This window comes from Homo sapiens, chromosome 15 (assembly GCF_000001405.40).
Source record: "Homo sapiens chromosome 15, GRCh38.p14 Primary Assembly".
NCBI lineage: Eukaryota > Metazoa > Chordata > Mammalia > Primates > Hominidae > Homo > Homo sapiens.
Genome location: NC_000015.10, coordinates 54,226,031 through 54,239,605, shown reverse-complemented (window position 1 = coordinate 54,239,605; position 13,575 = coordinate 54,226,031). Strand labels below are relative to the sequence as shown.

Here is a 13,575-nt window from a genome sequence, read left to right as displayed (position 1 = left end):
GGTGGCATATGCCTTTAGCCTCAACTACCCAGAAGGCAGAGGCCAGAGGATCATGTGAGCTCTGAAGGTTGAGGCTGCAGTGAGCTATGACCCTACCACTGCACTCCAGCTTGGATGACAGAGCCAGACTCTGTCTGCAAAAAATAAATAAACAAAAAGAGTGAAAGAGAGAAAGAAAGAATAATACTCTGAGAATGCAATTACATTTTTTCTCCTGTGGCACAATAGAAAATGTATCAACTTGTTGTAGCCTCCACATAGTCAAACGAATATGTTTTGTTTTACTGATATGTACTGGGTAGGGGAGCTTGCTGATGGAAAAACCCAGGAAAGATTGACATTTGGATGAAAGATGACAATGACAGAAAGAAGAAGGAAGGGAATGAGAAATATAGACATAAAAATGGTGTTTAAATGTTAAGTTACAGAAAGTTAAAATGGGTAATATAATATTTGTGGCAGAATTTTTATTCTACAAGAATGACAAAGTTGCTAAAATTGGGGAGGTAGGATATATTAGTCTCCAGGCATAGGGAGGGACACAGATAAACTGTCTCAAGTAAATCCCCAGCAGAATGTGCAAGACACATTTACCGGAACAGAACATGCCAGGCACCAAACACAAGAATTTTTTTTAAAAATCGCTTTCACCCAAACTACACCTGAAGCCAATTAAATCAGAGTGGCTGAGAATGAGACCCCATCACTGTATGTTTTAAAGCTCCCTCAAGAGTTCCAGTGAGCCGGATTTAAGAATCCCTGACCTAAATAATTACAGCCTACTTGTATCTTCTTATCAGTGTGGTTCTTTCATTCAATCAGAATTTACAAACATCCACCTCATGCCAGACAGTGTGCTAAGCCATAGTGGTAGAATCATTCAACAAGAACAACAAACAAGTTATAGTGCCACCCTCAAGGATATCAGAGTTTAAAAGAAAAGGTGTATGCAAAATAATCAAAATAATTGTAATAAAAATAATAAAACAGAAGCTTGTATGTATTGCTTATTATAACCTAAGCTATGCTGAATGTTAAGCATGTATCTACTTCCTAATCCTCTCAGTTTCCTTGTCACCTCTCTTTGTAGATGAGAGAACTCAGGCTTGAAGAAGTAACATAACCTGTGGGATATAATAATTCTAGTTAAGTGGCACAGATGGGACTCATACCAAGCCAACTTCACTCGTAATCATATGACCCTATGGAGGTTATGAATAAATGCTATAAAAGGGCCGGGTGTGGTGGCTCACACCTGTAATCCCAGCACTTTGGGAGGCCAAGGCAGGCAGATCATGAGATCAAGAGATGGAGACCATCCTGGCCAACATGGTGAAACCCCATCTCTACTAAAAATACAAAAATTAGCTGGGCATGGTGGCAAGCACCTGTAGTCCCAGCTACTAGGGAGGCTGAGGCAGGAGAATTGCTTGAACCCAGGAGGTGGAGGTTGCAGTGAGCCGAGATCGTGCCACTGCACTGCAGCCTGCAACAGAGTGAGATTCTGTCTCAAAAAAAAAAAAAAAAAACCTATAAAAGTCCTGAGGAGGAAATTAATCATTCAGCTGGAAGGGGAGGAAGATGGAAGATGTTTGGGGAAAACCTCGTAAAAGAGGCAAAACTTAAACTATGTAAAAAATCAGTAGGACTTTTCCACAGGGAGAATAACAGGGAAGCTATGTTAGAATTGAACAGCATTTGTAAAGATAGGAAGGTTTATAAGTATTTGAGGAGAAGACAATGATTGGCTGAGTCCCTGAGGAAGTTTGTTTGGAGTCAGGCTTTCCTCATGCTCCCAGTTATTTCTGGAACATTGGACTAAACATCACAGATGAGTAGCTCAAGCAGAACAGTTTCTCCCTTGTGATTATGAGCAATATCTAGTTAGATATTATGAGCAATATCTAGTACTTACCAGTTCCTCATTATTTAGGGATGTCCTAATCACCATAGCCAGGGAGAGTCCAGATTTCCGGGCAGCCAGGGTCTAAAACAAACAGAATTATGACTTATTAATACATAGGGAGGTTGACGTGCATATACTGCTCAGCAGAAGGTGAAAATGCAAGAATATGGGCTATCACTGTTCATATTTTAGTTAGTAAGGACCTGCCATTTTGGTAATCAGCCGATTCACCCAGAATATGGACTTATACAATATTAAAACTGGAACGATCCCACAACTCATCAAACCCAACCCCTACATTTTATAGATGATGAAACTGAGGCCCAGAAAGGCAAGATGACCAGTCTTAAGATGACCAGCCCCCTCAACCACCTCAGGCTAGCAAGAGGCTTCTCAAACTTTCTTATTCCTCAAGGTGGTTGTGATATATTCATTCAGAATACATAACCTTTGGTAGAGAGCCAGCCTGACTTTGGTGATGGCCCTGAATCATAATTAGTATTAGATGGTTCCTGAGTTGTTCATAGTTCCCTAGAATATTCTTCCATATCTATTCAAGATATTTTTTCTAAGTGTTCATTTAATTTACCGAGAATTGTTATATCCAGATTCATTTTCTTCACTCGATGCTGGTAACTTGAGTGATCTTAAATAAGAGTCAAGTCCCTTTAGTTTCCTCACCACATAAAATAGAACCATAACCACCACTATCTACTCCTACCCAAAATATATGAAATACAAGAAACTCAGCAGTGCTATGGAGAACGTTGGAAATCAGAACCTCCATATGGGAACAGTAAAACTGTTATCCCATTAGGAGCAAAGGGATGTCATTGTGGAATAATGCATTCTTGATCACCTGAGACCCATCTGGTCATATACATATCTCCTCAGCATTACAAAGTCATTAACTCAAATAAAATTCAGCATACACCTGAGTAAGAATGTCACTCTCCACTCATCTCCACATTTACCTTGAAGACTTACCTCCAAGAGTTTACCCAAGAAAATGTTTCATCTTTGAAAAATATATTCCCTAAAACTATACTTGTATCCTATTTTGGTCTGTGTTTGCACCTGTTGCATACATAATTTTCTCTTTCAGAATTGAACCAGAGGTTAAATTCTTGCAGAACAAACTTCTTATTCTTGTATGTCTGTCTTTTCATTTCTCCATTCTTGCCCTCTTTTACCCCATGAGTAAGTGCAGTGTATGTTTGAGAAGACTGCAAAATATTAATTAAATAAATAGCAAAGCACTTACCATGGCCTGAAGATTCCAGAAGTGAGAGGAAACAAAATGTAAATAATTAGATACATGAAAGGTAGGAAAAGAGTATAACAATGTTAAATTAGCCTAACACTTTACAATTATTTCCACATAGTGAAGACAGAAATTTGAACTAAATGTACTGACATGTTATACTTTCCAGTATAAGATCTTTTCAGTCAGGATCATATTTTAAAACCAAAGTGGTGGCCTTCAGATGAAGGCTTTCTTAGCAAAATTAAAAATTACTGATGTAAAAAGTTATGTACGTTGTTGCTGAAAGAAAATTTACTTTTTATGGGGGAAAATATATTTTTCATATCACATATAATATTAAAAATATGCCCATAAAATGTGAAGATATTTTGGATGATAGAAGAGACACTTTTTCACGATGATTTTTTTTTTTTTACAATCTAATGTAGGCCATGGTCAATTTTTTGCATTTATCAAGGTGGCTGCAGCATATTTCAATATAGGAAACAGATTTATTCAGAGTCATGATCAGAAGTAATAATGATGTTAATAACTTGAAAACCATGGTTTTCTCTTCTTTTTTATTATTTTTATTTTTATTTTTGAGACGGAGTCTCGCTCTGTCACGCAGGCTGGAGTGCAGTGGCGCAATCTCGGCTCACGCAAGCTCCGCCTCCCGGGTTCACGCCATTCTCCTGCCTCAGCCTCCAGAGTAGCTGGGACTACAGGTGCCCACAACCACTCCAGTTAATTTTTTGTATTTTTAGTAGAGACAGCGTTTCACCATGTTAGCCAGGATGGTCTTGATCTCCTGACCTCATGATCCGCCCGCCTCGGCCTCCCAAAGTGAACCATGATTTTCTTTAAATAGAAGAGCTTATTAATTTAGCTAGAATTGACTTTAATATAATAAAATGAAGAGTTGATTAATGTTATCTGCTTGCTGTATAAAGTATTCAGGTCCACTGTATTAAGGTGAAGAAGTTTAAATAAAGCCTCAAGCATTGTGAATTAAACTTCTGGTCATTCATAACACTAAACACATCAAAGCCTATTCACTTGCTTGGTATGCTGTGTGATTTCTTTTTGCTCCAATTATTAGGGTCATAGTCACTTAATTGTAATTTCCACTTATATCAAAAGCTATCAAAGGTTTGAGTTATCTCCTCCATCTAATAGATTTTAAAGAAATAATAATAAATATAACAGCAGGTAGCATCTGGCCTCATATATTTTTATTCCATGGAATATTTACAGGCTAGACAGTGAATGAGAAGGACATTACATTTTAGTAAGGAAAAAAACCACACATGCAATCGAAGAGAATTAAACAGTTGTAACTTACCACATCTCGGACAATAGGCAAAGTTTTTTTTCTGCGAAGATCCGGCATGCTGTCAATACCATAAAGTCCACCTCCAGCCCTGAAAGACAAAATAAAACCAATAATTGCAATGGGTAAAATGACTTCTTGTAAGAAAAACATCCACTGTTCATGGTATAAAGTCTGTGAAAAAGATGACCTGGATACCATAGTTTTCAAACGATTCACAAAGCTGCAAAGATACAAGCTTCTAGGACTTTGTTGAGTGAGGAAAAAAGACTGTAGCTACCACATTTGCTGACGACTCATCTTCTTGGATAGTTGAAAATTTAAGATATACATGGCCTGGATGGACACACTGTTTCCTGTTAGTATCACAGAGGAAAGAATCAAAATGTAAGATCTGTGGAACTTCTTACCTCCAGGAGGAAACAGAAGCAAACCATTTTTGGTGCAAGTTTGGTCTGGCTATGGTGCTAAATAAATTACCTTCATTATAAAAATACCAGTTATTGTGTGCTTCTGCTTCACAAATTAAACTCCAGAATAATGTCTCAAGGAGTCATGGACATATTTAAGATATTGGTAATTACCCTTATACCGCAAGTTCCCCTTATCTGAATTCATCCTACAGGTAAATGCACAGAATTAAAATAAGTAGTTGTAGAACGATGTTTATTGCATCTTTAAATAATAGCAATAAAAGCTAGGTTATTTACATGTTCATCAATAGCATATTGATTAAATGAATCAATGGGAAGAATAATTAAAGTGAAACAGGTAAATATATGTGCGCATACATAAAAAATACCCATAAGATGTTTAGTGAAAAAAAGCAAGTTTGCGTATTAGTAAGTTTAGTACACTCCCATATATATATATATATATACTGACATGGGAGTGTACTAAACTTATATATATATGTTTATGAACGCACATAAAATATCTAGAAAAATAATTATGAAATTGATAACTGTAGTTACCTCTGTGGAGTGAAAATGGGTGAGAGAAAGAGAAAAATCCCTGTTATAAACTTGATAATATTCAGTTTTTAAATAGGCATGTATTATTTTGCAATTAAAATAATTTTCTAAGAGGTATTAACATTTGTTTCTCTGGAATGAGTTTGATACATTGAATTTGACTTTTTATTGCATTAAATCCAGTCATTTAATATAACCAACAAGATGCTAATATTACTGATGATAGCTTCTCCTTATGCTTACTTGAACTACAAAACCCCTTGCTGACCTCTTGCCCATGGTCAGCTTATTCACCATGAACAACACAGTTCATGCCCCTCGGTAATAGCTAGGCATCTCTGTCATTGCAACAGGCTACAAAGGCTAATGACAGATTAATAGCATTTTATAGTCCAGTTTTCCGTCAGCAGAGAGATGGCCTCTATGTTCTTGCTGCTTAGCTTAATATAAGGAAACTTAGTCTTAATGGATTTTTCTTAGTCGTCATGAGCCTAACTCCAACACTTCTTCAGTTATCCACTACTACTAACATGGTACTACTAACAAGTAACTAAATGTGTCATAAAATTCATGTCAATAGAAATGAAAACAAAGTAGTAATAAAGATAAAATGAATTAATAAATGCATAGTAATGATGCCATAACATATATTTGGAAGTGAGGATCAAATGCAGTGAGCGTGAAATATTAAAACCATTGCAAATGTGTAAGAAAGATGTCAAGGATGAGCAAATTATTTTCAGAGTCGTGCACTTCAACTAAATGTCCCCCTTAATTTTGATCATAAAGAAATAGAATACGTGTGAAGCAGAGGTCAAGAAAGATGGAAGAAAAGAGAGAAGAAAAGAACTGAAGAGAATGTGTTCAGGGAGAAAGGTGACATTTAAAAGACCCCTTTCTCCACTAATTCTATGATAAAATAGCTAATATGATTTCCCTCATTGCCCAGAATAATGACAATTAACACTCTCTAGGTTAAGGGCTGTGCTAGTCACAGTGAGTCAAAGTTTGAGAATGTACATCACAAGAAAGAATCATTGGTGACATACTCTTTTGAATGTCAAGAGACTGTGGAGTAGAAAAGGGAAAAGAATGATAAACTTTTTTTCTTAAGCCCCACCTTCAGAATACACAGCACTACTCCATCAGTAACTTCTTGCTTCCCTCCTGTCATCTTTCCATATTCCTTCCCACCCCCTGCCAATTCATACTTGACCCTTCCACATTCAAAACATCAAATACATGGAAAAAGGCTAAGTGAATGGGTATCTAGAAGGATTCTTCCAGTTTCATGTGCTCCAATATTAGGCTATCATTCCAAGTAGTTTCTACTTTCTCTCCTCTGTGAACAGTATCAATAATGAACTAAAACATGCATGAATAAATATTTTCCCATTACAGTACCTATTAATCATGTTAACTATAAACCTTCAAGTATTTTGAAATGTTTTGACTTCTAAATAATGCAACTTTCATAGCTATGTAAAGAAACACATTCAATTCAGATGATGGTTGAGAAACTGATTTATAAACTGCAAAGTGTTATATAAATGAGTTGTGAATTTTCTTTTATCAGTAACCATTATTTCTTTTATGGTTTCCTTTCCATGAAACTTAATTCAAATTTTCAAAGTACACCCAGAATCTTGAATCGAACTTATTTACCCACAAATTTGGGAATCAGTTATAAGCATGTGCATTATTGGGCCTGACACTTCACTCCTATGCTTATCTCATCAGAGCAGAGATATCCAAGGACCTAGGACAAATATGAGCACTGCAGAATAACAAGCCCAAGTGAGCAGACATGTATCCAAAATTCATCTCTGCCTCTTTTGAGTTTACCACTGAATTTCACTGAACTTACATTTTATAATTTGGAAAATTGCAAGACAATGAAAACACTTTCTCAACCTTCACAGATAGCCTCAAAACATAGCCTTCTCAGGTTATGTTTCCTTATACTTTTATATTTTCATCATTACTACAAGAAACTTTGATAAGCCTATCCATCAAGTAATAATATAAAATTTTATCACAAACCATGACTTCGAAAACAGTCTACCTTACTGACCTCACCTCATGAATAGAGAAGCACTTGATAAATATAGATAAGGTCTACATAAATGCAAACTATTTTTGTAATGTTTATTGGGAGGCTTCTTACCAGGAGCGATCTTGGAGAGATTAAGTAACACAAACTAGTAAATAGTAGAAATATTCATATATAAATAAATCATTTACTTTCTAGGCAAGATCTTAAGTTCATGCACCACAGTTAAAATCCAGAAGAAACTGTCTAGACTTGATGAACAAGAAGTCAGATGAAGTTATCAGAACAGACCATAGCAGACAAGTAACTCTAAAGGTAAGGTCTGATAAGAAAAGAAGCTGTTTCATTTCAGCCCTTTTAGGTATAGTTGATTGTTTTAAGATGTCATTGACTGTAGACAGAAAACTCACTAAGGATAACTAATTTTTTTTGGTGCTTATTAGGTGACAGATATAATGCTAATATTTGTACCCAACATTTACAGAGTGCTTATTATTCTAAGCACTTTACTTATGTTAACTCATTTTATTTTTTTAAATCTTATGAGGTATAGGTACAATTATTTCTCTCATTTTATAAATAAGAAAATGAAGACAGAATCCTTCAAAATCATACCCAAGGTCATTATTAAGATCTGAAATGGCAGTGCCAAGGTTTGAGCCCACAGTTTATGACTTACCGTGCTCCACTGCTTATCTGATTGGGATATCCTATATCTCTAAAACTCATATGAACTGAGGTCTACAATTAATATTATTTTGTATTTAATGAAACTAATATATTGCAGAGATTGATTTCCACTGCAGGATCATTTTACCTCAGACTTAATGTTCTTAATAATCAATAAGCATTTTGCTAAGAAGAAATAAGACACATGTACCAGTTGATCCAGGGATGTTGCCATCATTTGGATATTTTTTCAATGTATTTCAGGAAAGTATTATCTTCAGATCACAACCCTGTTTCATTGTACAAAATAGCCTCAGTATTCCTCAAATGACCCCTGCCCAAGTATTCAAGTGTTCTTCTTAGGAATAAAGACTTATTAGACTATAGGCATTACAGACAGGATAAAAAACTGAAGACATCGATGGAAGTAGTTGGAAAGTCAATGGCTGCATAAAATGACAAAATGGATATTATTTTAAAGTCTAAATCAAGCATGCTCAAATTCAATATCAGCTCTATTACAAAGTTTTTATTAATATTTTAATTAACATCATAACTATACACATTTATGGGGTACAATGTGATGTTTTGATATAGGTAGGCAATGTGGGCTGATTAAATCAAGTTAATTAACATACTTGTCACCTCACTTATTTTTTGTAGCGAGACCTTTAAAATATACACTCTTAGCCAACATACTTTAAATATTTTCAGTGGTTTTCTTTTGTTTCTCAGTTCTTTCCATAATGATATTAAAATGAGTTTACTGAATTTAATAAAATCTGAGATGTACAGTATATTGCTATGTGCCTTGACTCAGGTTCAGTTAATTGTCTTGTTATAAAATAAATGCAAAATAGAGTATACAAATTACATATGTTCTGTAATTTTAAGACACTTCATATTTAGATAAAGAAAATAAAAGTTGATTTTACTGATTAAGTAGAGATTAATTATTATTTTCACTCAAAATTGACTGATAACATATTGAATATATACAGATTGCAAAAGAAATTTGAGAAGACACCATGAAAATATCACGTGAAAACTATCAAGCAGGATATAAAAAAATACACAATACAACTAATTATTACTGAAATGCAAAATTAAACCACAATGAAATATCACCTCACAAGTGATACAAGAGTTATCATGAAAATAATAAAAGATAACAAGTGTTGGTGATGCTATGGAGAAAAAGGGACCTTTGCACATTGTTGTTGGGAATGTAAATTAATACAGCCATTGTGGAAAATGAGGTGTAGATTCCTCAAATAAGTAAAAAACAGAACTACCATATAATTCATTACTCCTACCAACAGTGAAAAAATATGTTCACTCCTATATTTATTGCCACATTATTCACAATATAGCCAGGGTATGAAATCAACCTAAGTGTCTATCAGTGGATTAATGGATAAAGAAAATGTGGCATATATACACAATAGAATACTAGTCAGTCTTAAAAAAAAACCCTACAATTTGTGACAATGGATGAACCTGAAGGACATTATGTTAAGTGAAATAAGCCATCCATAGAAACACAAATACCACATGATCTTGATGACATGTGCAACCTAAAAATGTTGATCTCAGAACTAGGGAATAGAGTGGTAGTTACAAGAGGTGGATGGCAGGGAAGGGGAGGTTAGGGAGATATTGGTCAAAAGATACAGAAAATTAGTTACACAGGAGGAATGAGTTTAAGAGATCTATTGTAAATAGGGTGAATATAGTTCATAACAATATACTGTATTCTGGAAAAATGCTAATGGAGTGGATGTTAAGTGTACTCACCCCATAAATATAACTATGTGAGGTAACACATATGTTAATCAGCTAGATTTTGCCATTTCACAATGTAAATGAACTTCAAAATATAAAGCTGTACATGATAAATACGTACAATTATTCCAATCATTTAAAAATAATAATAAACAAATGGTAAGGTGATTAAAAATAAAAAGACTGTCAGCTTTCAAGGAAGTGGAGCAACATGGCTGAATAGAAGCCTCTAGCAATCATCTTCTCCACAGGAACACCAAATTGAACAAGCATCCACCAAAAAACACCTTCATAAGAACCAAAAATCAGGTGAGCAATTATAATACTTGGTTTTAACTTCATATCACTAAAAGAGGCACTGGAGAGAATCGGAATGACACCGTATAATTACTGATGCCACCCCTCACTGATCCCTTGGCAGTGACCACATGGCATGGAAAGAGAATCTGAGTGCTTGAGGGAGAGAGAATGCAGTAATTGCAGGACTTTGCGTTGGAACATTGGAACTCAATGCTGTCCTGTCACAGCAGAAAGCAACAACAGGCAGAACTCAGCCAGTGCCCACAGAAGGAGCATTTACACCAGCCCTAGCAAGTGGGGACTAGCCCATCCCAGCAGTTGGATCCTGAGTTCTGACAAGCCTCACCACTAAAAGGCTACAATGCTGTTGGGTCCTAAATAAACTTGAAAGGCAGTCTAGGTACAAGGACTGAAAATCCTCGTGCTGTGCTATGCTTAGAGCCAGTGGACTTGGGCAAATGAACTAGAGATACACCATCTAGGTGGCTCAGGGAGACTTTGTACCACCCATTTCCCCAACCCCAGGCAGCACAGCTCACAGGTCTGGGATAGACACTTTCCCTTTTCTTGAGGAAAGGAGGGGAGAGGGAAGAGCAAGAGGACTTTGTCTTGCAACTTGGAACCCAGCACAGCCATAGCAGAATAAGGAATCAGAGTTCTGAGACTCCCATTCCAGGCCATGGCTCTTAGACAACAGTTCTAGGCACACCCTAGGCCAGAAGGGAACCTGCTGCCTTGAAGGGAAGAATCCAGTCCTGGCAGGATTCATTACCTGCTGACTAAAATACCCTAGGTCCCTGAATAATCAGGAGCCGTAGCCAGGTAGTACTCGCCATGGGCCTTGGGTGAGACTCAGAGACATGCTGGCTTTGGTGTAACCAAGCACATTCCCAGCTGTGATGGCAATGGGGAGAGACCCATTCTGCTTGAGAAACGGAGAGAAAAGGGTGAAGGAGATTTTGTCTTGCAGCTTAGGTACCAGCTTGGCCACAGTGGGGTACAGCACCCAGAGTTCTTGGGGTCCCTGATTCCATGCCTTGGCTTTTGGACAGCATTTCTGGACCTTCCCTGGGCCAGATGGGAGCACATTGCTTTGAAAAAAGAACTCCAGGCTTGGCAGTATTCACCACAAGCTGACGAAAGAGGTCTTGGGCCTTGAATGAACGCTGACTGTAGCCAGGCAGTACTCACTATGGGCCTAGGGCAGTGGTGACTATGGGGAGAGACACGTCTTCTTATATGGAAAGGAGATGGAAAGTGAGTAGGACTTTGTAGCACGGTTGAGGTACCAGCTCAGCTGCAGGAGAATAGAGCACCAGGTAGATTCCTAAAGTTTCTGACTTCAGACTCCAGCTCCTGGATGGCATCTCTGGACCCACCAGCAATGAGAGCGAACTCACTATCCTGAAGGGAAGGACACAAGCCTGGCTGGCCTTACCACCTGCTTATTGTGGAGCGTCAGGGCCTTAAGTGAACATAGGTGGTAGCCAGTCAGTGGTTGACAGGCCTTGGGCAAGACCCAGTACTATACCGGCTTCAAGACTGACCCAGCACATTACCAGTGGTAGTCTGGACACAGCTGTACTCACCTAGCTGTGGTGCTGGACATGGGCATCCCTGAGCTCTTGGGGGCCCGGGAAGCCCCCTTGTCCCCACAGGTTTGGAAGTGCCTGATCTCACTCCCTGGGGCCACTTTTGGAACAAGGCTGAAGCCAAGCCTGGAATGCTGTCATGACTTGGCTGGTGTGTGTGCACTCAGGGAAGTCCTGACACACTACCCCCCTGCCCCCTCGGTCTCCCTCTGAAGATTTAGGCACCAAAGAGCTCAGGAAGGGAGGGAGGGGGTGCTGCAGGTGGCTCAGCATGGGCTGGCAGGTGCCCCTTGGCACAAGCAGCCTGGGTGCCATGAATGGTACGTTGATGGCAGCAGGCAGGCTCCATGGTGGAAAGGGTTGGGTCTGTGGTGAAACCCCACCTTCAAGCGAGGGATGGCTTGAAGCCTGGGGACTGGGCTGCCAGTTCTGGGTGGAGTCCACAGCCAGGAGTGAGAACTTATGGTGCTTTTTCCAGGCCCGCCCGTGGCCATCCATGGACCGATCAGCACACACTTCCTCCCTTCTGAGCCCATAAAAACCTGAACTCAGCCAGACTTAAACAGAAATAAGAACGATCTGCCTGAGGAAAGGAGCTACCCACTTTGGGTCTCCTGAAAACAATTCTGCCATTCCACGAAGCTCTTCTCTGCTCACCCTCCAGCTGTTTGCGTGCCTCATTCTTCCTGGACAAAGTATAAGGACTCAGGACCCACTGAATGGTGAGACTAAAAGAGTTGTAACATAAACAGGGCTGAAACATGCCCCCTACCCTTCCCTGCTTGCCACGCTGTGGGTAATGAGAAGGAGAAGAGCTGCTGCCCTCCAGGATCCCAGACCTGGGGACTCCCTGAGCCAGGGGTCTGACACACTTTAAGGAGTTCTGCAGTTTCTGATGTCTCCAAGCTTCCAGGCACCACCATGATCCCTCTGTCCAGACACAGGTGCCTACAGCGCAAGCCACATGGAGTACATCTGGTCCAGCTGCACCTTCTCACAGAGCCAACATGTGTGCTGGTGCCTGGAGCTGCCTGCCCTGCCTCAGCGGCCAGCCTCAGCTTGGTTTTACACCGTGGCTGGACCCCAGGCTTGCTCTCCAACACACCCCTTGCCACTCTGCACCTGGCTTGTCCTTGGCTGGTGTAGGATCTGGGCCAGTGGCGTAAGCCAAGCACAGTTGGCTGGGGCAAGTGGATGGAACAAGGTAAGTGGTCATAAGCAATACTCAAGCAGAAGGTCCTGGTGGCAACAGAGGTTTCCAGCTAGCAAATTGACACTCCAAGGACCCTGTGACACTACAAATCAATAAAAGCCCAGGATCAGATGGATTTACAGCTGAATTCTACCAGAGGTACAGAAAAGAGGTGGTACCATTTCTTCTGAAACTACTCCAGGCAATTGAAAAGGATGGACTCATCCCTAACTCATTTTATGAGGCCACTCTCATCCTGATACCAGAACCTAGAAGAGAAATGACAAAAAATGAAAACTTCAGGTCAATATCTCTGATGAGCGTTGATGCAAAAATCCTCAATAAAATGCTGGCACTGAATCCAGCAGCACACAAAAAGCTTACCCATGACAATCAACTTGGCTTCATCCTGAAATGCAAAGTTGGTTTAACATACACAAATCAATAAATGTAATTTACCAAATAAACAGAACTAAAAACAAAAACCATGTGCTTATCTCAACAGATGCAAAAAGGCCTTCAATC

General features: G+C 38.9%; 1 protein-coding gene across 7 annotated transcripts in view; it reads right to left on the bottom strand.

The window, feature by feature from the left end:
• The window catches only part of UNC13C (unc-13 homolog C), a 795,839-nt gene that overhangs the window by 393,835 nt on the left and 388,429 nt on the right, over window positions 1-13,575 (bottom strand). For 6 of the 7 annotated variants that reach the window (XM_047432538.1, XM_017022220.2, XM_017022221.2 and 3 more), the window contains 3 exons: window positions 4,498-4,576; window positions 3,171-3,176; window positions 1,916-1,987 (listed from right to left, as the gene is read on the bottom strand). In XM_047432538.1, the coding sequence (XP_047288494.1) occupies window positions 1,916-1,987; window positions 3,171-3,176; window positions 4,498-4,576 (157 nt within the window). The remainder of the gene's footprint in view (window positions 1-1,915; window positions 1,988-3,170; window positions 3,177-4,497; window positions 4,577-13,575) is intronic. The other variant, NM_001329919.2, reaches the window with a different exon arrangement.